A 22193-nucleotide genomic window follows, 5' to 3' on the forward strand; every position below is an offset into this window, starting at 1 on the left:
TAGTCCCAGCTACTCGGGAGGCTGAGGCAGGAGAATGGCGTGAACCCGGGAGGCAGAGCTTGCAGTGAGCCGAGATCGTGCCACTGCTCTCCAGCCTGGGCAACAGAGTGAGACTCCATCTCAATAAAAAATAACAAAACAAAACAAAAACAGATCTTGAAGTTGACAAAGTAGACTCTGTAGCAATGACGCCAAATTCCAGCCTGACTCTGGTATAGGACTACATGACAGATAGGAAGCCTTGGAAGAAATGGAAGTACTTTACCCCACATTAAATTTCTTCGACTTATTTTGAAATAGCCCTGCAAAGCTGTCCCTTGTGAAGAAAATCTACATTCTGTAGCGAATCCCCGTTCCTTTCCAGGTCTTTTTCCTGCTTCAGGGAGAACTCTGATAAGAAGCACTTACAATCTATTCTCTCTGAAGCCTGCTACCTGGAGACTTCCTCTGCTTAATGGAAATCTTGGTCTCCACAAACCCTTATCTTAACCTAAAAACTCCCTTCTGTTGATTCTAGGTCTTTAGACAGTAACTTAACCTTTTCAACCAATTGCCAGATAGAAAATCTTTGAATCTACCTATGACCTGGAAGCCCCCCCACTTCAAGTTGCCACACCTTTCTGAACCAAACCAATGTACATCTACGTGTATTGACTGTCTTATGTCTTCCAAAAATGTATGTAGCCTAACCACCTTGGGTACGTGTTCTTAGGATCTCCTAAGGGCTGTGTCGCTGGCCCTTGGTCACTCATATTTGGTTCAGAATCTCTTAAAATATTTTTCAGTTTGACTCTTTTTGACAACATGGGAAATCCTACAGGCAAATGACCTGATTTTTAAAATGATATATACAAAGAGAAGGATATGGATAGAACCTACAAATTTGAAAAATGACAACTTTAAGATCAGGAACTCTGCAACTTTTTTTTTTTTTTTTTTCTGGACAAAGTCCCACTCTGTTGCCCAGGCTGGGGTGCAGTGGCACCATCTCAGCTCATTGCAACCTCCGCCTCCCCGGTTCAAGCAATTCTCCTGCCTCAGCCTCTCAAGTAGCTGGGACTACAGGCACACACCACCACGTCCACCTAATTTTTTTATTTTTAGTAGAGAGAGGCTTTTGCCATGCTGGCCAGGCTGGTCTCAAACCCCTGACTTCAGATGATCCACCTGCCTTGGCTGCCCAAAGTGCTGGGATTACAGGCATGAGCCATCATGCCCAGCTTGAACTCTGCCACTTCTAAGTACGCCTCAAGTTATGTCAAAATCAAGTTTTTATTTTATTTATTTATTTATTTTAGTATTTATCAATCATTCCTGGGTGTTTCTCAGAGAGGGGGATGTGGCAGGGTCATAGGACAATAGTGGAGAGAAGGTCAGCAGATAAACACTTGAACAAAGGTCTCTGGTTTTCCTACGCAGCGGTCCCTGCGGACTTCCACAGTGTTTGTGTCCCTGGGTACTTGAGATTAGGGAGTGGTGATGACTCTTAACGAGCATGCTGCCTTCAAGCATCTGTTTAACAAAGCACATCTTGCACCGCCCTTAATCCATTTAACCCTGAGTTGACACAGCACAGGTTTCAGAGAGCACGGGGTTGGGGGTAAGGTCATAGATTAACAGCATCCCAAGGCAGAAGAATTTTTCTTAGTACAGAACAAAATGGTGTCTCCTTGGTCTGCTTCTTTCTACACAGACACAGTAACAGTCTGATCTCTCTTTCTTTTCCCCACATTTCCCCCTTTCCTTTTCGACAAAACCGCCATCGTCATCATGGCCCGTTCTCGATGGTCACTGTCTCCTCGGAGCTGTTGGGTACACCTGCAGAAAGGCTCCCAGATGGGGTGGCCGGGCAGAGGCGCCCCTCACCTCCCAGACGGGGCGGCCGGGCAGAGGCGCTCCTCACATCCAAGACGGGGTGGCAGCCGGGCAGAGGCTCTCCTCACTTCCTAGACAGGGTGGCGGCCGGGCAGAGGCTCTCCTCACTTCCCAGACAGGGTGGCGGCCGGGCAGAGGCGCTCCTCACATCCCAGACGGGGCAGCCAGGCAGAGGCGCTCCTCACATCCCAGACGATGGGTGGCCGGGCAGAGACACTCCTCACTTCCTAGACAGGGTGGCGGCTGGGCAGAGGCTGTAATCTTAGCACTTTGGGAGGCTAAGGCAGGCGGCTGGGAGGTGGAGGTTGTAGCGAGCCGAGATCACGCCACTGCACTCCAGCCTGGGCAGCACTGAGTGAGAGAGACTCCGTCTGCAATCCCAGCACCTCGGGAGGCCGAGGCGGGCAGATCACTCAAGGTCAGGAGCTGGAGACCAGCCCGGCCAACACAGCGAAACCCCATCTCCACCAAAAATACAAAAACCAGTCAGGCGTGGTGGCGCATGCCTGCAATCCCAGGCACTCGGCAGGCTGAGGCAGGAGAATCATGGGAGCCCGAGGCAGGGAGGTTGCAGCAAGCCGAGATCACGGCAGTACAGTCCAGCCTCGGCAACAGAGGGAGACTGTGGGAAGAGAGAAGAGAGAAGAGAGGAGAGGGAGAGGGAGAACAAGTTTTTATTTTTAAAGAGAGACTTTTCAATGTCTTCCGTAAGTTCATAGAAAAAGAGACTTAAGAAACATATGAACCAATTGTAATATAGACTATTAAAACATACTAGACCTTATTTAGATCCTGATTTAAACAAACTGTAAAAAAATATGAGACAATGGGGAAAACTGGACATTGGCTATTTGATAAAAAAAAAATTAAGTGATTATAATTTGTTCTTTTTTTTTTTTTTTTTTGAGACGGAGTCTCGCCCTGTTGCCCAGGCTACAGTCATGCAATCTCGGCTCACTGCAGCCTCTGCCTCCCAGGTTCAAGCAATTCTCCTGCCTCAGTCTCCTGAGTAGCTGGGACTACAGGTGCGTGCCACCATGCCCAGCTAATTTTTTGTATTTTATTAGAGATGGGGTTTCACCATGTTGTCCAGGCCGGTTGCGAACTCCTGAGCTCAGGCAATCCTCCCACCTTGGCCTCCCAAAGTTCTGGGATTACACGCATGAGCCAATACACCCGGCCGTAATTTGTTCTTTCAAACATATTACACTTATGTTTTTATTTCATTTTTTTTTTTTTGTATTTTAGAGATGGAGTTTTGCTCTTGTTGCCCAGGCTGGAGTGCAATGGCATGGTGCTGGCTCACTGCAACCTCTGCCTCCCAGGTTCAAGTGATTCTCCTGCCTCAGCCTCCTGAGTAGCTGTGATTACAGGCACCCACTATCACACACAGCAAATTTTTCTATTATTAGTAGAGATGGGGTTTCACCATGTTGACCAGGCTGGTCTCAAACACCTGACCTCAGGTGATCCACCCACCTCAGCCTCCCAAAGTGCTGGGATTACAGGCGTGAGCCACCACACCTGGCCAGTTATGTTTGTAAAACATTAACAAAAAAGCTATACAAATGACAACCTAAAATTATCCTTTTATTTAAACTGAAGTTGAGGGGAGATATTTTCTGAGAGATGCTGACTTGAATTTGAGTAATCTAGAGGGTTAAGACTTCCAGAATTTCATTGTTGCATTTGTAAAAAGCTATACAAAATGAAAACTATAAATAATAATTTTTTTTTTTTTGAGATGAAGTCTCACTCTGTCGCCCAGGCTGGAGTCCAGTGGTGCGATCTCGGCTCACTGCAACCTCCACCTCCTAGGTTCAAGCGATTCTCCTACCTCAGCCTCCCAAGTAGCTGTGATTACAGGCACACACCACCATGCCTGGCTAATTTTTGTATTCTTAGTAGAGATGGGGTTTCAGCATGTTGGCCAGGCTGGTGTCAAACTCCTGACCTCAAGTGATCCGCCTGCCTCGGCCTCCCAAAGTGCTGGGATTACAGGCATGAGCCACCATGCCTGAGCTCAACTTTGAAGTGTCAACTTGAAACTGCCTTTGCAAAGATTAAGGCAGTGATAGAGGCTGGGTGCAGTGGCTCACACCTGTAATCCCAGCACTTTGGGAGGCTGAGATGGATCACTTGGGCCCAGGAATTCAAGAACAGCCTGGGCAACATGGGGAGACCCTGTATCTACAAAAAATTTAAAACTTAGCCATGCACAGTGGTGTGAGCCTGTAGTCCCAGCTACCCCGCGGGGCTGAGGTGGAAGGATTACTTGATCCAAGGAGGTTGAGGCTGCAGTGAGCTGTGATCACGCCACTGCACTCCAGCCTGGGTGACAGAGTGAGACCCTGTCTCAAAAAAAAAAGACAGAGAAATTTCACACAGTTAATTCCGTCTTCCTTTGGACATCCAAGCTGTCCAGTTGTTCCTGGGCATAAGCCAAGCTAATTTTAGGAGCTTTGGGAGGAATTTACAGTTTAACCTTGAAACAAGGATGATAATAGTCCCTTCCTAAAACTATCACCTCCCACTTCTGGGGCTGAAATTGCCTTTGTAAAGCTAATGAAAGGCCACAAGGTTAGGATTGTGGGAGTGGCCTGAACTCTGCTAAAATGCAGGCCTAGTTTCTACAGTCCCTCACTGCTCAGGACTCATGTGGCCAGAGGTCACAAAATTTGCAACTTCCCGAATTGCACCTATAGATAATATCAGTATTGCAGGACCTAAGAATGGCTTTTTGAGATGTTTTTCAGAGTGAACCCACCCCAACCTGCTACTCAGGACTCAATTGGTTTCTGTGGCCCCACCCAGAGGCAGACTCAGTGCTTGAGGACCGTTTTCCACACACCCTTTTGATTTCATTCCCAGTCAATCAGCAGCATCCATTCCCTAGCCCCCTGCCCACCAAATTGTCCATAAAAACCCTAACTGCGGCCAGGCGTGGTGGCTCATGCCTGTAATCCCAGCACTTTGGGAGGCCGAGGCAGGCGGATCACAAGGTCAGGAGTTCAAGACCAGCCTGGCCATTATGGTGAAACCCCATCTCTACTAAAAAATACAAAAATTAGCCAGGCGTGGTGGCGTGTGCCTGTCGTCCCAGCTACTTAGGAGGCTGAGGTAGGAGAATCGCTTGAACCTGGGAGGTGGAGGTTGTAGTGAGCCGAGATTGTGCCACTGCACTCCAACCTGGGTGACAGAGTGAGACTCCGTCTCAAAAACAAAAACAAAAAAACAAAAAACAAACTCCTAACTGCTGAGCCTTTGGAGAGACTGATTTGAGTAGTAACTGTCTCCTGTGTGGCCTGCCAGGTGTCAATTAAACTCTTTTCCCGGCCTGCTGCAATCTTGATGAATTGACTTTTTGTCTGTGCAGTGGGCAGGAAGAACCCGATGGGCAATGGCAAGCTGAAGAATGATGAGATTCATAAATCTGGAAAGGAGAGCTTTACTTCTCATAAAGGGTTTCAGCCTGCAGGGTGGCCATTCTGACAGACAGGGAAGCACTGCCTCTGGCCAGAAGCCAGAAACAGACACTTCCAGGGAGGGGCAAAGGGAACAGGAATCTATGAGGTGCAGTGTGTAAATATACATATTTATCAAGCTACAGGAGAAGTCATGAATATTTTTGAAGAGAGAAACATACACAAACACAATGAAGCTTCAGGCCCCTTCACGAGGGTCATGTCATCTCACCAGAACCACTCCATGGTCAGTGTCTCTTATCAGTAAGGAATACTGGTCAATTGGGCCGAAACTGCAAATGAGAGAGTTGTTATCAGCGGTGGAGTCTTTCGAAAGCGCTGGTTTCCGTTAAGCTCTTAGCCAAGAAAACCTAATGGTAGTTAGCCAAGGGTTGGCCTTAATAACAGGTGTCTCACCTCCCATCTGTCATGGCTGAGAACTGCCTTCAAGGCAACCCTGGGATCTCCTTAGCCAGTAGGGGGTTCGTGTAGTCAGTTGGGGGTCTTTGGATTTCATTTTCATTTCTCAGAGGACAGGAAGGAAGGCTCTAACATGGGGAATCCTGAGAACTGCTGCTGTCTGTTAAATACGCCTACAAGTTATTTTTCTTATGTCACACTCTCCCAGACATGTTCTTACTTCTCATTTCTGATTTCTGTAATACACACACACTGATTTCATAAAACGTTTATGAGTCCAACACTTCCATTATAGCCCTGTATCAATGTTTTGCTTAGCTGAAATCAATTTCTTGGAGGAGTAAGTGTTATCTTTACTTTGTAAGCTGTAAGGGCCCAAATCAATGTACTTGGTAAAACTATCCATAGTGAACACACGCAAATGTCAAATGGCCATCATTTAGCATCTGCCCTCGGGCTTCCGGGTCCATCACGTGGTTACTGACAGGCAGGCCGCGCATGCGCGCTGCTACTCCGCCGAGCCTACGTGACACGACGTCAAGTGGCAATGGCGGCGGACGAGGGCTGTGCCCCCGGCCCGCCCCGTTAGGAGCCGCGAGTAAGGCGAGTGTCCAACGCCGAGCTGGCTGACAGAGCCCGGCCGCGGCCTCCGCGGGCCCAGGGGCCTCCAGGCCCCGTGACCACCGGACCGAGCACCCTGGAACGGCCCCAGCTTGGCCTCGGGACAGTCCGCGCGCTCACCGACTCCCTGGTGAACGCCGCTTGGCCGCCGCCGCCGCCGCAGGACCCACGAGAAGCGGAAACCGGCGCAAGGACCCGGTCCCCCCGGCGCCGTACGTGGAGTGAGCCTGCGGTCCGCCCCGCGCGCTCCGATTGGCTCTGGGGCCTGGCCCGCCCCTTCCCGACACTGTCATTGGCCTAGGCAAAGCCGTAAGGGTGGGGAATCCTATTGGCCCAGGGGTGCGGCTTGTCCTCTCCCGGTGCTCTCATTGGCCGAGCGCGGCCGTTGGGGGTGAGGCCGCGTCGGGGGAGGACAACAAAGGGCCGCGGGCGGCGGGCAGTGGTGTCCCAGTCTCCCGGTGCTTCCCTGAGGCTGAGGCGCCCGGCCTCCCGCCCGCCGCGCTCCAGATGAAGTGTGAGCACTGCACGCGCAAGGTGAGCGCCGCGGGCCGGGGAGGCGCGCGCCTGGTGCTTGTCCTGTGGGGCTCTGGGCGGCCGAGGTTGGCGGTCCGGGCCCGCCGCTCGCTCGCTTCAGGGCTCTTCAAGGCGCCCCCGGCCTCGGCACCCTGGGCCCGCTCGGCGTGGAGGCGGCCGGCGCGGGGTCCGCTGCGCTCTGCAGGGCGGGTTCGGTCTTCGCGGTTCTCCCTGAACTTGTCCATCTTTCCCACGCCCGCGAAGCGCGGAAACGCACGGAGACCGAGCCTCTCGTGCCGCGCACCACAGTCCGAGTAAACAGCGGTCGTGGCGGGAATGATCAGAAGCGTTTCGAGAGGGTTTTAGGCGTTTTCGAACCTGCCCCTCTGAGGGTCACCGAGCAGCCGGTGCAGGGGCGGAAGCGGGTGACGGCTGCTGACCGGCGCCTTCCGCGGTTGTCTCCAGGCCATGGCAACAACCGCGCAGCGCACGCAGGGGGGTTTTGTAGCTGTTATTGCCGGAATGGGCTCCTGTGGATGCTGCTCTGTGGCTGGCACTTCTGCGCGTGACGCCGTGGCAGGAGGCTTCCTAACATTCCATGGGTCGTTCATCCCCGGTGGTGGCTGCGTCCTATTCTAAGTACACCTGTGTCCAGGGGAATTCGCCTGTGGGGTGAAGGCTACAGTTGCTTCTGCTTTTTTATTATTGTAAACAATAGAGATGTGTGTGTGTCCTTCAGTACCTGTTTCACTAGAAGGGTTAGAAGGATAGAAGGCCAGGCACGGTGGCTCAAGCCTGTTATCCCAGCACCTTGGGAGGGGAGGCCGAGGCGGGTGGATCACCTGAGGTCAGCAGTTCAAGACCATCGTGGCCAACATGGCGAAACCCAGTCTCTACTAAAAATATAAAATTAGCTGGGTGTGGTGGCGCACACCTGTAATCCCAGCTACTCAGAAGGCCGAGGCAGGAGAATCGCTTGAACCCGGGAGGTGGAGGCTGCAGTGAGCCGAGATTGCGCCCCTGCACTCCAGCCTGGGTGAGAGCGAGACTCCGTCTAAAAAAATAAATAAATAAACTAAAAGAAAGGATAGAAATACATGAGCTTCATTGGTCAGAATGTGCACATTTTCTTAAGGGAGACGAAGTAAAAGTTCATTGATAATGTTCCTTTGCTTTTTTAAGGAATGTAGTAAGAAAACAAAAACTGATGACCAAGAGAATGTGTCAGCCGATGCACCGAGTCCAGCCCAGGAAAATGGAGAGGCAAGTAGATTTTTCAGTTTTGTATCAGCCCAGAGTAAACTACTGCTGCTGTTTTTCTCTTTGGGGGCTCACAGCACCGTGCACATCACTGCTTTAAAGAAGACTGAAGTACGCGGGCATGGTGGCTCACGCCTGGAATCCCAGCACTTTGGGAGGCCGAGGTGGACGGATCACTTGAGGTCAGGAGTTTGAGACCAGCCTGGCCAACATGGTGAAACCTTATCTCTGCTAAAAATACAAAAATTATCCAGGTATGGTGGTGTACGCCTGTAATCCCAGCTACTCAGGAGGCTGAGGCAGGAGAATTGCTTGACCCTGGAAGACAGAGGTTGCAGTGAGCTGAGATTGTACCACTGTACTTCAGCCTGGGCAACAGAGTGAGACTCTGTCCCAAAAAAAAGACTGAAATAGGCCAGGCGTGGTGGCTCATGCCTGTAATCCCAGAACTTTGGGAGGCCGAGGCAGGCGGATCATGAGATCAGGAGATTGAGACTATCCTGGCTAACACAGTGAAACCTCATCTCTACTAAAAATGCAAAAAATTAGCCGGGCGTGGTGGGGGGCGCCTGTAGTCCCAGCTACTCGGGAGGCTGAGCCAGGAGAAAGGCGTGAACCTGGGAGGCGGAACTTGCAGTGAGGCAAGATCGCGCCACTGCACTCCAGCCTGGGCAACAGAGTAAGACTCCGTCTCCGAGACTGAAATAAACTTGAAGGGGCTAATAAAGACATGTGTGAGACAGTCCATCAGTGGCACAAGGCCTGTCTTCTCAGAACACACTACACCAAAACACACTGCATTGGGAACAAAGAAAACGTGGTGTAATACTGGATTTCTTCTTTTAATTTTTTTTTTCCCCTTTTGAGACAGGGTCTCACTGTCACCCAGGCTGGAGTGCAGTGGCTCACTGTATGGCTCACCGCAGCCTTGACCTCTGAGGCTCAAGTGATTCTCCTGCCTCAGCCTCCCTAGTAGCTGGGACTACAGGTATGCACCACCATGCTCAGCTAATTTATTTTTATTTTTATTTTTTGGTAGAAATGGAGTTCCACTATGTTGCCCAGATTGGTCTTGACCTCCTGGGCTCAAGTGATCCTCCTGCCTCAGCCTCCCAAAGTGCTGGGATTACAGGCGTGAGCCACTGCACCTGGCCTCTCTTCTAATTCAGTTCTTGTTTTTAAATTCTCCTTAGCTAGTAGCTATGGTCTCTGTTTATTGGATACATAACCTGAGCCTGGCTCTCAAGAATGTGATTTTACAGCCAGGCATGGTGGCTCACACCTGTAATCCCAACACTTTGGGAGGCCGAGGTGGGTGGATTACCTGAGGTCAGGAGTTCAAGATCAGCCTGACCAACATAGATAAACCCCATCTCTACTAAAAATACAAAATTAGCTGGGCGTGGTGGTGCATGCCTGTAATCCCAGCTACTCAGGAGCCTGAGGCAGGAGAATTGCTTGAACCCGGGAGGCGGAGGTTGAGGTGAGCCGAGATCACGCCACTGCACTCCAGCTGGGGCGACAGAGTGAGACTCCGTCTCAAAAAAAAGAATGTCATTTTACATGCAGTCTCATTTCACGCCCAGAAGGAACATTACATGTAAGCCTGGCCATTATCCCTGTTTTACTGAGTGAAGGGTGTTGGGAGAGGTTAAGGTCAGTCTACCCTTAGAAAGTACTAGTACCAGTTTATAAATGGAGAGTTGGCAATATGGCAGAAGCATATTTTTTCCTTAAGTTTAGTAGTCCTGACATGTTTAATCTGACAGGTGTTCTCCCGGTTGCCCTGTGTGCCAGTGCTGTGGGGACTGTGGGGCTTAGGGAGCAACAGGGCCTGAGACAAGCAGCCAAAGAGCTGGCCACAGGCAGAAGAGAGGTAGGGTGCATTGGAGCCCTGGAGGCAGCTGGGGCCAGTGCGCCTGAGTGGCCGACCCCAGGGGCCTCCCTCACCTGCCCTCTGGTTGTGTCGTTGTAGACAGATATCTAAGCCCTGTGAGCCTCGTTTCCTTATCAGAGGCCTGGGGAGTAGGGTTACCTCCCTCCCAGGACTGTGGTGAGGATGAGATAACGTGTGTACACAGCCTAAGTGGGCGCCCTGCCAGGTCAGTGATGGACACAGGGTGAGAGGAGTTGGGTTGGGGTTAATGGAGTGGACCCTGAAGAGTGGTCAGAATTCAGGGTGGGAGTGTAGGGAAGGGCACTGGCACACCAGGCAAGAGGAGGGTGTGGACAGACGTGCTCTAGGGAGAGACAGTGGCTCCCCTTGGCCAGGTCAATGACAGTGCAGAGCTGTGGAGACCGTGAGGGGGTGACTCAGGTGTTTGTTTTAGGGCAGGTGATGGAGGTAACCGACTTAAGCTGGCTAGAGTAGGGGAAGAATTGCAGGAAGCCACTTGGGTGGCAGCTTTGAGAGCCTAGGCAGAGGTGGTGGGCCTGGGCAAGTCTACCAGAGTGATAGAGACAGAACAGAGGACGTAGTGCAGGGAAGGGAGTGCAGTTTTAGCTCCACAGACACTGGGCCTTCTACGGTGTGTGAGTCTGGGGTTTGGTGAGAGCACTCCGCTGGAAGTGCAGGTGGCAGGGCTGCCCTGGGCTGAGTGAGGCCAGCAGGCCTGATAAAAGGGAACAGGACTTCTGTAGAATGCATCAGTGTGGAAGGCAGGAGGAATAAGAAGAAAGAATGTGAGGGGTGAGGAGGGAATCAGACCTGGACCATGAAAACTTATGGAAGGACTGGGTTATACACAGCATGTCTGGTGGCAAGGCAGGGAGGAGGCACTGCTGGGTGAGGGGGGCAGTTTGGTCATGGGCATCTCAGTGGGGATGGGCTGTGGAGGCACAATTCATGCAGCTATGGGCACCAGATGTTTGGAGTGGAGCTGTGGCTTTGACCCACTGGGAACTTGTTAGAAGCACAAACTCTTGAGCCCCATGCGGACCTCCTGAGTGCCCATCTGCAGCAGAACAAGATCCCAGGTTGAGTGGGCTGCACAGAGACATGGGGTCATGTGTAGGCAGGAGGCAGAGGTGACACCCGAGCTGCGGTTCGTAGCACGCTGTGGAAGGAGGAGGCACATCCATAGCCGTCTCCTGTCAAATCAAGTTTTAAAGAAAAACGAATGCATGGACTACCTGAGGAGCTTCTGTAATTTATTGACATTACTCCTGTAAGCTTCAGAGTATTCATATGTTCATCCACCAGTTATTTATTGAGCACTGTCTGTGTGCAGTACCTCTTGGAAGTGCTGAGGAACAAGAGAACAAGACAGTGTTCAAGCTCTCATGAGCTTACATTTTAGCGAGGAGGGACAGACTCCTGCTAGCAGTCAGCAACATAAGTACAGATGGGTGGGGAGGGAAGAGACGGGTGAGGGGGTGGTGCTGTTTTAGCAGGTGTTGGACATCGTCTCTGCTGAAGGCCACCCAGGGTGAGCCTGGGGCTCTTAGAGGTTGCTTCATGCAGAAGGATGGCGAGAGCAGCAAGGGCCAGTGGGGCTGGACGTGTGGAGACCAAGGGGGCTGTGATGGGACCCGGGCAGACAGGGGCCACTGGCTTTGCCCAGGCCCTCTGTGTGAGGGGCAGCTGTCTGAGCAGAGCAGAGGTGTGGTTTATGTTTTAGCAGATGTCGGGGAGCACAAGGGCCAGTCAGGAAGGAGAGGGTGGAGGGGATCAAAGAGTGACTCTACATCCAGGTCAGGATAAGCATCTTGTTACATGTCCGAGTGCAAACCCAGAGCCAGCACTGAGTTGTAAAGTTCTGAGCCTCAAGGGAGAGGCCAGGGCTGTGGGTGGCCTCAGGGAGCCGTGGGATGGTAAGAGGGGGCACAGAGCTAGAGGAGCAGTCAGAGGGCTGGATCACAGGCACCAAAGAGGAAGGGGTCTAGGAGGAAGGGGTCTAGCAGTGGGGTGAGCTTCCAGAACACAGGGGTCATTTACTTCCTACCACGTGACAGTGCTAGGGCTGGGTTCCACCCTTGTCATCTGCATGGTTCCCTAGTGTCATTGTGGGCTGGGCCCTGTGTCCTGTGTCCCTTCACCACCTTGAGCTGCTCAGTGGCAGAGACTGTCCTGCTTCCAGCCCCTTGAGCACCAGGCCTGGACCCTGGTATTATCTCCAATGTTTACTGTGAATTCTGTATATGGGTGTTACCCTCTCTAAAGAAGCACATTAAAGAGTATTTGTTGAATAATCATGCTGAAACGTCATCTTTCATAGAAGGGAGAATTCCACAAGTTGGCTGATGCCAAGATATTTTTGAGCGACTGCCTGGCATGTGACAGCTGTATGACTGCAGAGGAAGGAGTCCAACTTTCCCAGCAAAATGCCAAGGACTTCTTCCGCGTTCTGAACCTTAACAAGGTAAGGCATTCGGGGCATTTGCTGATGCTGGGGAGCTGACCTGGAGGAAGTGGAGGTGAGGCCTGGCTTCCTGCACAGAAGCCTCTGCTGGGACATCGGATGCACATCTCAGCCTTTTCCTGGTGTTGCTAACATCCTGCTTTGACCTTCCAAACCTCTCCATCAAGAGCAAAATCCCCGCACAATTTCCTGCTCCCTTAATAATGCTCAGGCAGTGGTGGGGGGCTGGCATCACCCCTCAGGCTCCTGTGGCTTAAGCGGGGCCTCTGCCTGGTGAGGTCAGGTAACACGGGTGTTGGTGATCATGCGGGCAGCACAGAGCCGGAGCTCCTGCTGTTCTGCCTCGGCTGCACGTTTTCGGACACGAGAGTTATGTTCTAATAGACCGATCAGCTTGGGGCAAGGCAGAGACACTCCAAGGAAGTAAAAATTCCCAAAGCTCCTTCCTTCAGCTCATCCCTGCAGACCTCCTATACAGAACGAGAGGTGCCACTTGTCTTTCCGTGAGACAGGTTGTATTAGTCCATTCTCACATTGCTACAAAGAACTACGTGACACTGGCTAATTTATAAAGCAGAGAGGTTTAATTGACTCACAGTTCCACAGGATCTACAGGAGACATGGCTGGGGAGGCCTCAGGGAACAACCATGGCGGAAGGGTGAAGGGGAAGCAAGCATGTCTTCACGTGGCAGCAGGAGAGAGCAAGTAAAGGGGGAGGTGCTGCACCCTTGTAAACAACCAGATCTTGTGAGGACTCACTCACTATCATGAGAAGAGCAAGTGGGAGATCCGCCCCCATGACCCAGTCACCTCCTGCCAGGCCCAGCCTTCAGTTTCACATGAGATTTGGGTGGGGACGCAGAGCCAAACCATATCACAGGTGAAAGAGAAAGAGACAAAGGCAGATGAGGCTGAAAAGCACTTCTTGGTTTCCATGCTGTCACCTCCACGGGAAGCACCGGCATCCTACCCTGCCCAGGGTGTAGGAGCCCATTCACAGTAGGTAGTGTGCTAGAGCAAGGTAGGGGCCTCAAGAAACACTGACTGGCACAAGTGGGTGGCATAGGGGACAGCCAAGGAGCCTTCTCAGCGTTTGCCATTCACCCCCATGGCTTCTGGACAAGTCATCCAGCAGCAATTAGATCACAATATTTTTCTTTGTGAGACAGGGCCTCACCCAGGCTGGAGTGCAGTGGAGAGAGTCTCAGTGGGGAGACTCTGGTGATCCTCCCACCTCTGGAGGCTCCCTGTAGCCTCCAGAGCAGCTGGGACTACAGACGCGTGCTACCACACCTGCCTAATTTTTGTATTGTTTGTAGAGACAGGGTTTTGCCATGTTGCCCAGGCTGGTCCTGAACTCCTGTGCTCAAGCGATCCTCCAGCCTCAGCCTCCCAAAGTGTTAGGATTATAGGCATCAGCCACCACCCATGACCTAGATCACAATTGCAGATAGAGACACATGTCCTCTGTGTTGCCAGCATTAGTTGTGTCTGGGTGTACCCTGACTTATATGCACTTGCACGGGAACTCCGTTAGCAAGCAGCAGGCTGCCTGGATAGGATGGTCTGAACCAGGAGATGCCCCCCACCCATCAGCCAGGTTCGCCATGCATACCCGTCCCCACCTGCTCACCCTTGGCCTTTCAGGGAACAGAATGGCTTCAGCCATTTTGTTACGTTGAACAGACTTAGTGGATACAGCTTTGCAGACTACTAGAGACTTAATTCTGTGGTGTCAACGGTTTTTGCAAAAACCCTTGAAAGTGTCTGTGTCACTTTATGCTTCCCTAAGTGATAGGGGCAAACAGCTGTGTGCAGCCATCCTGGTCACATTCAATATCAAATTCAGTTTTTTCCCCCCTGATACATAGAGAATTGTATCTCATTTGCATTTTCTTGCTTATTTAGAGAAGTTGGTTACCCTAGATGATGTTTATTGACAGTTTATATTTTATCTTATGCTGCTTGTCCAGTCTACAACTTATATTTTAGTACGGTGTGCGATGTGAATACATTCTTCTTCCTTTTTTTTCTTTTCTGAGATGGAGTCTCTCACTGTCTCTCAGGCTGGGGTGCAGTGTCGTGATCTCAGCTTATTGCAACCTCTCCTTCCTGGGTTCAAGCAATTCTCCTACCTCAGCCTCTCAAGTAGCTAGAGTTACAGGCAGGCACCACCATGCCCAGCTAATTTTTGCATTTTTAGTAGAGATGGGGTTTCATCATGTTGGCCAGGCTGGTCTCGAACTCCTGACCTCAAGTGATGTGCTCGCCTCGGCCTCCCAAAGTGCTGGGATTACAGACGTGAGCCACCACACCCGGCCAGATACATTCTTTTCTATTTGAAAAAATCAAATTGTTCCAGCATCTTCTGTTCTTCCCCTGTTGACCTGAAATATTATCCTACCTCTCTTATATATTGATAGATGTGCATCCATTTGTTTCTTTTTTTTCGGCCTTCACCATGTTGGCCAGGCTGGTCTTGAATTCCTGGCTTCAAGTGATCCACCTGCCTTGGCCTCCCAAAGTGCTGGGATTACGGGCATAAGCCACCGTACCTGGCCTTCTTTTTTTTTTTTTTCCCCATTACTTCCACCCCACCCTTGTACTGCGTGTCTATTTCTTGACCCTTTTTTGAGATGGAGTCTCACTCTGTCGCCCAGGCTTGAGTGCAGTGGCACGATCTTGGCTAACTGCGACCTCCACCTCCTGGGTTCAAGCAGTTTTCCTGCCTCAGCCCCCTGAGTATCTGGGATTACAGGTGCACACCACCATGTCTGGCTAGCTTTTGTATTTTTAGTAGAGATGGGGTTTCTCCCTTTTGGCCAGGCTGGTCTCGAGCTCCTGACCTCAGGCTATCCACCAGCCCCGGCCTCCCAAAGTGCTGGGATTATAGGCATGAGCCACCACGCCTGGCCCTTGACTCTTATATCTGAACCTGTCTTCTATTGCGCTGCCAACATCTAGTTTATGCTAGTTTATGCAGTATTTTTTTAGAACAGTTTGTAGATGAGGCTTACTCACAAAACATCTTAGGCCTGGTAACTTTTTTTTTATTTTTTTATTTTTTATTTTTGGAGATGGAGTCTCACTCTGTCGCCCAGGCTGGAGTGCAGTGGAGCAATCTCAGCTCACTGCAACCTCCATTTCACTTCAACCTCCACCTCCCGGGTTCAAGCGATTCTTCTGCCTCAGCCTCCCGAGTAGCTGGGATTACAGGCACATGCCACCACACCCAGCTAATTTTTGTATTTTTAGTAGAGATGGGTTTCGCCATGTTGGCCAGGCTGATCTTGAACTCCTGACCTCAAATGATCCGCCTGCCTCAGCCTCCCACAGTTCTGGGATTACAGGTATGAGCCACCATGCCCAGCCGGGCTGATGACTTTTAAGAGGCATCTCTGGATACCATTTTAGTGTGTCTGTTTTTTTTATTGTTGTGTAGTAATTTCACTTATTCATTGGCCAATGTTGTAATTTGTATTTTCCCTTTAAAATTATTTATTTTTTCCAGATATTCACATTTACTGATATAACATTGTTCTTGAAATTGACAAAGTCTTTTAGATCTGTAGTCTTGTCTCTTTTAAGACAGAGTATTGGCCAGGCTAGGTGGCTCACACCTGTAATCCCAGCACTTTGGGAGGCCGAGGCAGGTGGATCACAAGGTCAGGAGTTTGAGACCAGGCTGCCCAATATGGCAAAACCCCGTCTCTACCAAAAAGACAAAAAATTAGCTGGGTGTAGTGGCAGGTCCCTATAATCCCAGCTACTTGGGAGGCTGAGGCAGGAGAACCACTTGAACCTGGGAGGCAGAAGTTGCAGCGAGCTGAGATCGCGCCACTGTACTGTAGCCTGGGCAACAAGGGTGAAACTCTGTTTTTTTTTTTTTTTTACTGTAGCCTGGGCAACAAGGGTGAAACTCTTTTTTTTTTGAGACAGAGTATTACTCTGTCACTCAGGCTAGAGCGCAGTGGCTATGGCTGTTCCTAAGTGTGATTATAGCGCTCTGCAGTCTCAAACTCCTGGCCTCAAGTGATCCTCCTGTTTCAGCCTCCTGTGTAGCTGGAACTGTAGGCATGCACCACTGAAGCCAGCTCATGTTTCATTTTTTAAATCCTGACTTTTAAAAAAATATTTACCAGAAGCCCAAACCTCACCATAATCCTGATTTTTTTTCTCCTTTTTCTTAATTATGTTTGCCAGTGTTTGTCTATTTTATTAGTCTTTGCATAGACCATCTATTAACGTTGTTCTGAATTTCTCATTAAGGTGTGTAACTTTTACTCCTTGTGTAATCAGCAGATACCTAACATTCTCTATTTCTCCTTCTAGAAATGTGATACCTCAAAGCACAAAGTGCTGGTAGTGTCTGTGTGTCCTCAATCTTTGCCTTATTTTGCTGCTAAATTCAACCTCAGTGTAACTGATGCATCCAGAAGACTCTGTGGTTTCCTCAAAAGTCTTGGTGAGTCATCTTTTGATAAATTGGGAATGTATAACTTGAGTTTATAAGCGCCCTTTTTAATCTCTAAAGTTCGTTTTTCAAGGACGCAGGGTAGATAAGCAACTTCCAAAAGAGTCTCTTGGAACGTAAAAAGACCATGTCCCGTGTGTCATGAAACCCAGCCTCTGATCGATGGTAGACGAGTGTCACTTTTCTCCTTTGCTGTGCACAGACAGGTGTTTTGTTACACAGTGGGAGCTGACCCCTCTGGGACCAAACAGTGACCACCTTCTGACAACACGGACAGGACACTGGGAGATTCCCACACTGGCCCAGCAACCTCCAAGTCACCCCTTACCCCCAGAGGGTGTGCATTTGATAAACAGTCACTTCTGAAATGATTAGTATCTGGTTTCCCAAGAAGCTCTCTGAAGAGCAGAGCAGAAAGGGAATGGGCTTGTGTTCTTTACTTGAGGAATGAAAGGTAGAAATTTAAGAATATAATAAAAGAACTCGGATGTCAACGCTGGAATAGTACTACCTGAAATGTTGATGGATGATGCTTCTGCGTCTTCTGCTTTGGTCAAAGGGGAACTGCCTCCCTCCATTTGCTTATAGAGGGGCTTTTACAGCCTTGAGCATCCTCATAGCATGATGGTCAGTGTGCAAGTTCAGAAAGGGAAAATGAGCGAGTTGCCAAATAAGAGGTTTTTTTTGTTGTTTGTTTGTTTGTTTGTTTGTTTTTTGAGCTGGAGTCTCGCTCTTGGTGCCCCAGGCTGGAGTGCAATGATGCGATCTTGGCTCACTGCAACCTCCGCCTCCCGGGTTCAAGAGATTCTCCTGCCTCAGCCTCCCAAGTAGCTGGGACTACAGGTGCGCGCCACCACTCCCGGCTAATTTTTGTATTTTTAGTAGAGATGATGTTTCACCATGTTGGCCAGGATGGTCTTAATCTCTTGACCTCGTGATCCACCCGCCTTGGCCTCCCAAAGTGCTGGGATTACAGGCATGTGCCACCGTGCCTGGCCAAGAGTTTTTATTATTCTACAGCGGCTTTTAAAAATTATAAATATTGGTCAGGTTTGGTGGCTCATGCCTGTAATCCCAGCACTTTGGAAGGCCAAGACCAGAAGATTACTTGAGGCCAGGAGCTCGAGACCAGCCTCGACAACATAACAAGATCCTATCTCTGCTAAATAAGTACATAAATGTAGATATATTGGGGATTACTGGTGAAATAAAATGATATTTGGAATAAGGATCATCAGGACAGGCTTGAAGTCTAAGCAGCAGCCTGGGGGTCCTGATGCTCCCTGTGCCCTAGGCGCCTGGGCTCTAACAAGACCTGGTCATCTAGCACATAATGTGCTGCAGCTGAAACCCAGCTACAGCGACAGGTGCCCACACGTTAGGTCGCTCCTTCATGCTTGTCATCATAAAGCCTCGGGTTAGGTTAGTTACACTGAAGATCAGAGTTGTCAAATGCTATATATTCTCACGATGAAAGCCCTTATTTGGGGCTAGATTCTTAAAATGATGTAACGGAATGTTATATATCAATAAAATGTATCCACAGTAAAATGGATTTCTTAATGTAATATTTTAAAATTTATAATATTTCTTTTTTTGTTGTTCTTGAGACGGAGTCTTGATCTGTCACCCAGGCTGGGGTGCAGTGGCGCCATCTCGGCTCACTGCAAGCTCCACCTCCCGGGTTCACACCATTCTCCTGCCTCAGCCTCCCGAGTGGCTGGGACTACAGGCGCCCGCCACCACGCCCGGCTAATTTTTTGTATTTTTAGTAAAGATGGGGTTTCACCATGTTAGCCAGGATGGTCTCGATCTCCTGACCTCATGATCTAACCGCCTTGGACTCCCAAAGTACTGGGATTCCAGGGGTGAGCCACCGTGCCCAGCCTAATATTTATTATAGCTAGTTGCATTTTCTCTCAGCTTTGTTACCTGGGGAGGGGGAGAAACAAAAAATTTAAAATTAAAAAAATCAGGCCGGGTGTGGTGGCTCATGTCTGTAATCCCAGCACTTTGGGAGGCCGAGGGGGCAGATCACCTGAGGTCAGGAGTTTGAGACCAGCCTGGCCCAACATGGCAAAACCCCATCTCCACTAAAAATACAAAAATTAGCCTGGCATGGTGGCAGACACCTGTAATCCCAGCTACTCGGGAGGCTGAGGCACAAGAATCGCTCAGACCCAGGAAGCAGAGGTTTGCGGTGAGTTGAGATTGCGTCACCACACTCCAGCCTGGGTGACAGAGCATGACTGTCTGAAAAAAAAAAAAGGCTGGGCATGTTGGCTCACGCCTGTAATCCCAGCACTTTGGGAGGCCGAGGTGGGCGGATCACGAGGTCAGGAGATTGAGACCATCCTGGCTAACGCAGTGAAACTCTGTCTCTACTAAAAATTCAAAAAAGTAGCCGGGCGTGGTGACGGGCGCCTGTAGTCCCAGCTACTTGGGAGGCCGAAGCAGGAGAATGGTGTGAACCTGGGAGGCGGAGCTTGCAGTGAGCCGAGATCACGCCACTGCACTCCAGCCTGGGCAACAGGGCGAGACACTGTCTCAAAAAAAAAAAAAAAAATTCAGTATAAAAATTTAAGCCATTATAAAAGTATGCCCTTGCCGGGCGCGGTGGCTCACGCCTGTAATCCCAGCACTTTGGGAGGCCGAGGCGGGCGGATCACGAGGTCAGGAGATCGAGACCATCCTGGCTAACACGGTGAAACCCCATCTCTACTAAAAATACAAAAAATTAGCCGGGCGTGGTGGTGGGCGCCTGTAGTCCCAGCTACTCGGGAGGCTGAGGCAGGAGAATGGCATGAACCCAAGAGGCGGAGCTTGCAGTGAGCCGGGATAGCGCCACTGCAGTCCAGCTTGCGCGAAAGAGTGAGACTCCGTCTCAAAAAAAAAAAAAAAAGTATGCCCAGCCATTCTATACTTTTACTGTACGTTCTACTTTTAAACACATCAAGAACCATCACAGACTGAAATTTAATTTGCCTGTGAATTGGAAGGGAATGCTGTGGGTACGTTGTAATATTTCATTAATTTATATATGGAGTAAGGTGTTTTAAAATGTAGAGAGGGAAGAAGCATGAGAGAGAACATACATATTTCATTGTGAAAAATCATACACGCTCATTGTTTACAAAATAAAAGGTAAAGCACACGGTCTTGAACTTAGGCCGTTAGGAATAGATAAGAACCAAGACTGATTTTATTATCTTAGGAGGGATGCCTGTAGAATCTATGCTTTAAGTTTGTCTCTTAAACGTGAGAAAGCAAAAATGAGTAAGAATGAAGAAGTATTGGCTGGATGCAGTGGTTCACGCCTGTAATTCCAGCACTCTGGGAGGCCAAGGTGGGTAGATCACTTGAGGCTAGGAATTCAAGACCAGCCTGGCCAACATGGTGAAACCTCATCTCTACTAAAAAATACAAAAATTGGCCAGGCATGATGGCGGGCACCTGTAATCCCAGTTACTCGGGAGACTGAGGTGGGAGGATCACTTGAACCTGGGAGGCGGAGGTTGCAGTGAGCCGAGATTATGCCACTGCACTCTAGCCTGGGTGACAGAACGAGACTCCGTCTCAAAAAAAAAAAAAAAGAGGAAGCCTAAAAGTAGATCTTTTAGTACGTGATTTAAGCTGAATATGCTCCTCTCTCCTGCAGGGGTGCACTATGTATTTGATACGACGATAGCTGCGGATTTTAGTATCCTGGAGAGTCAAAAAGAATTCGTGCGTCGCTATCGCCAGCACAGTGAGGAGGAACGCACCCTGCCCATGCTGACCTCTGCCTGTCCTGGTGAGCCCCTGGACCCCCGCTCTGTTGGCCTGAGGTGCCAAAAGAGGTTTCACAAGATTCTGCAGGCTCTAGATGAGGTTGGAGGCAGACAGACCCATCCCACCCAGCCTTGTAGACCAGGAGGGAAGAGCTTGGCCTGATTCACAGAGGGTGTTTGATGTTTTGGGACAGCCAATTTAGTTTTTCATCAGAGGTGCCACACTGGAAAGGCCAGTATGGTTATTTATTTAATTTTATTTTATTTTTATTATTTTTTTTTTGAGACAGAGTCTCGCTCTGTCACTCAGGCTGGAGTGCAGTGGCACGATCTCGGCTCACTGCAAGCTCCACCTCCCGGGTTCAAGCGATTCTCCTGCCTTAGCCTGCCAAGTAGCTGGGACTACAGGTGCACGCCACTGCACCCAACTAATTATTGTATTATTAGTGGAGATGGGGTTTTGCCATATTGGCCAGGCTGGTCTTGAACTCCTGATCTCAGGTGATCTGCCTGCCTCGGGCTCCCAAAGTGCTGGGATTACAGGCGTGAGCCACTGTGCCCAGTCTAGGCAGATCTCTTGAGCCCAGGAGTTTGAGACCAGCCTGGGCAACATGTCTCTATTTTTTTTTTTTTTTTGGAGACGGAATCTCAGTCTGTTGCCCAGGCTGGAGTGCAGTGGTGTGATCTCGGCTCATTGCAACCTCCACCTCCCAGGTTCAAGCGATTCTTTTTTTTTTGTTGTTGAGACAGAGTCTCGCTCTGTCACCCAGACTGGAGTGCATCCTGCCTCACCCTCCCGAGTAGCTGGGACTACAGGCGCCTGCCACCACACCCGGCTAATTTCTTTTTGTATTTTTAGTAGAGACGGGGTTTCACCGTGTTAGTCAGGATGGTCTCGATCTCCTGACCTCGTGATCTGCCTGCCTCGGCCTCCCAAAATGCTGGGATTACAGGCGTGAGCCACTGTGCCTGGCCAGGTTCAAGCGATTCTTATGCCTCAGCCTCCCCAGTAGCTGGGATTACAGGCTAGCGCCACCACGCCTGGCTAATTTTTGTATTTTTAGTAGAGATGGGGTTTCGCCATGTTGCCCAGGCTGGTCTTGAAATCCTGACCTCAAGTGATCTGCCCGCCTTGGCCTCCCAAAGTGCTGGGATTACAGACATGAGCCACCACACCCGTCCTCTAATTTTTTAAATAAATATTTTTTAAAAGGAAAAGAAAAATAGGCCAGGCATGGTGGCTCACAGCCATAATCCCAACAATTTAGAAGGCTGATGTGGGAGGATTGCTTTAGCCCAGGAGTGTGGGACCAGTCTCGTCAACATAGTGAGACCTCGTCTCTGCAAAAAAAAACAAAAAAAAGCCAGGGGTGGTGGCAAGTACCTGTAATCACAGCTACTACGAATCCTAGCCTGAGGTGTTTGAGCCAAGGA

General features: G+C 49.9%; 1 protein-coding gene and 1 long non-coding RNA gene across 12 annotated transcripts in view, besides 4 other annotated features; one reads left to right on the forward strand and one right to left on the reverse strand.

Moving 5' to 3' along the window:
• Positions 1-1269: 1269 nt before the first annotated feature.
• NARF-AS2 (NARF antisense RNA 2) lies at positions 1270-6603 on the reverse strand. 4 transcript variants are annotated; one of them, NR_184098.1, is made up of 3 exons: positions 6501-6603; positions 5522-5632; positions 1270-2497 (listed from the first exon to the last, which is right to left on the reverse strand). It is a non-coding gene; the product is annotated as an NARF antisense RNA 2 (long non-coding RNA). The 4 variants fall into 4 exon arrangements; NR_184099.1 differs by having other exon boundaries at positions 5757-6603; NR_184101.1 differs by lacking the exon at positions 1270-2497 and having other exon boundaries at positions 5308-5632.
• Positions 6164-6313: an enhancer, noted in NCBI's record as "active region_13010". NCBI's record gives its function as "activates an Ori minimal core promoter by ATAC-STARR-seq in GM12878 lymphoblastoid cells {active_cell/tissue: GM12878}" and the evidence as "EXISTENCE:reporter gene assay evidence [ECO:0000049][PMID:35858748]".
• NARF (nuclear prelamin A recognition factor) overlaps positions 6282-22193 on the forward strand; it is a 32340-nt gene continuing 16428 nt past the window's right edge. For 2 of the 8 annotated variants that reach the window (XR_007065290.1, NM_012336.4), the window contains exons 1-5: positions 6825-6914; positions 8076-8156; positions 12371-12514; positions 16848-16980; positions 20648-20782. Coding sequence is in view for 7 of the 8 variants with exons in the window: in NM_012336.4 (NP_036468.1) it covers positions 6888-6914; positions 8076-8156; positions 12371-12514; positions 16848-16980; positions 20648-20782 (520 nt within the window). In the remaining variant the exon portion in view is untranslated. 8 annotated transcript variants of the gene reach the window in all.
• Positions 6344-7163: a silencer, noted in NCBI's record as "silent region_9214". NCBI's record gives its function as "represses an Ori minimal core promoter by ATAC-STARR-seq in GM12878 lymphoblastoid cells {active_cell/tissue: GM12878}" and the evidence as "EXISTENCE:reporter gene assay evidence [ECO:0000049][PMID:35858748]".
• Positions 6344-7579: a biological region, named in NCBI's record as "NANOG-H3K27ac-H3K4me1 hESC enhancer GRCh37_chr17:80416539-80417371".
• Positions 6747-7579: an enhancer, noted in NCBI's record as "NANOG-H3K27ac-H3K4me1 hESC enhancer chr17:80416539-80417371 (GRCh37/hg19 assembly coordinates)". NCBI's record gives its function as "activates a minimal SCP1, AML or CMV promoter by ChIP-STARR-seq in naive H9 embryonic stem cells {active_cell/tissue: H9 hESC(naive)}" and the evidence as "EXISTENCE:reporter gene assay evidence [ECO:0000049][PMID:30033119]".

This window comes from Homo sapiens, chromosome 17 (assembly GCF_000001405.40).
Source record: "Homo sapiens chromosome 17, GRCh38.p14 Primary Assembly".
NCBI lineage: Eukaryota > Metazoa > Chordata > Mammalia > Primates > Hominidae > Homo > Homo sapiens.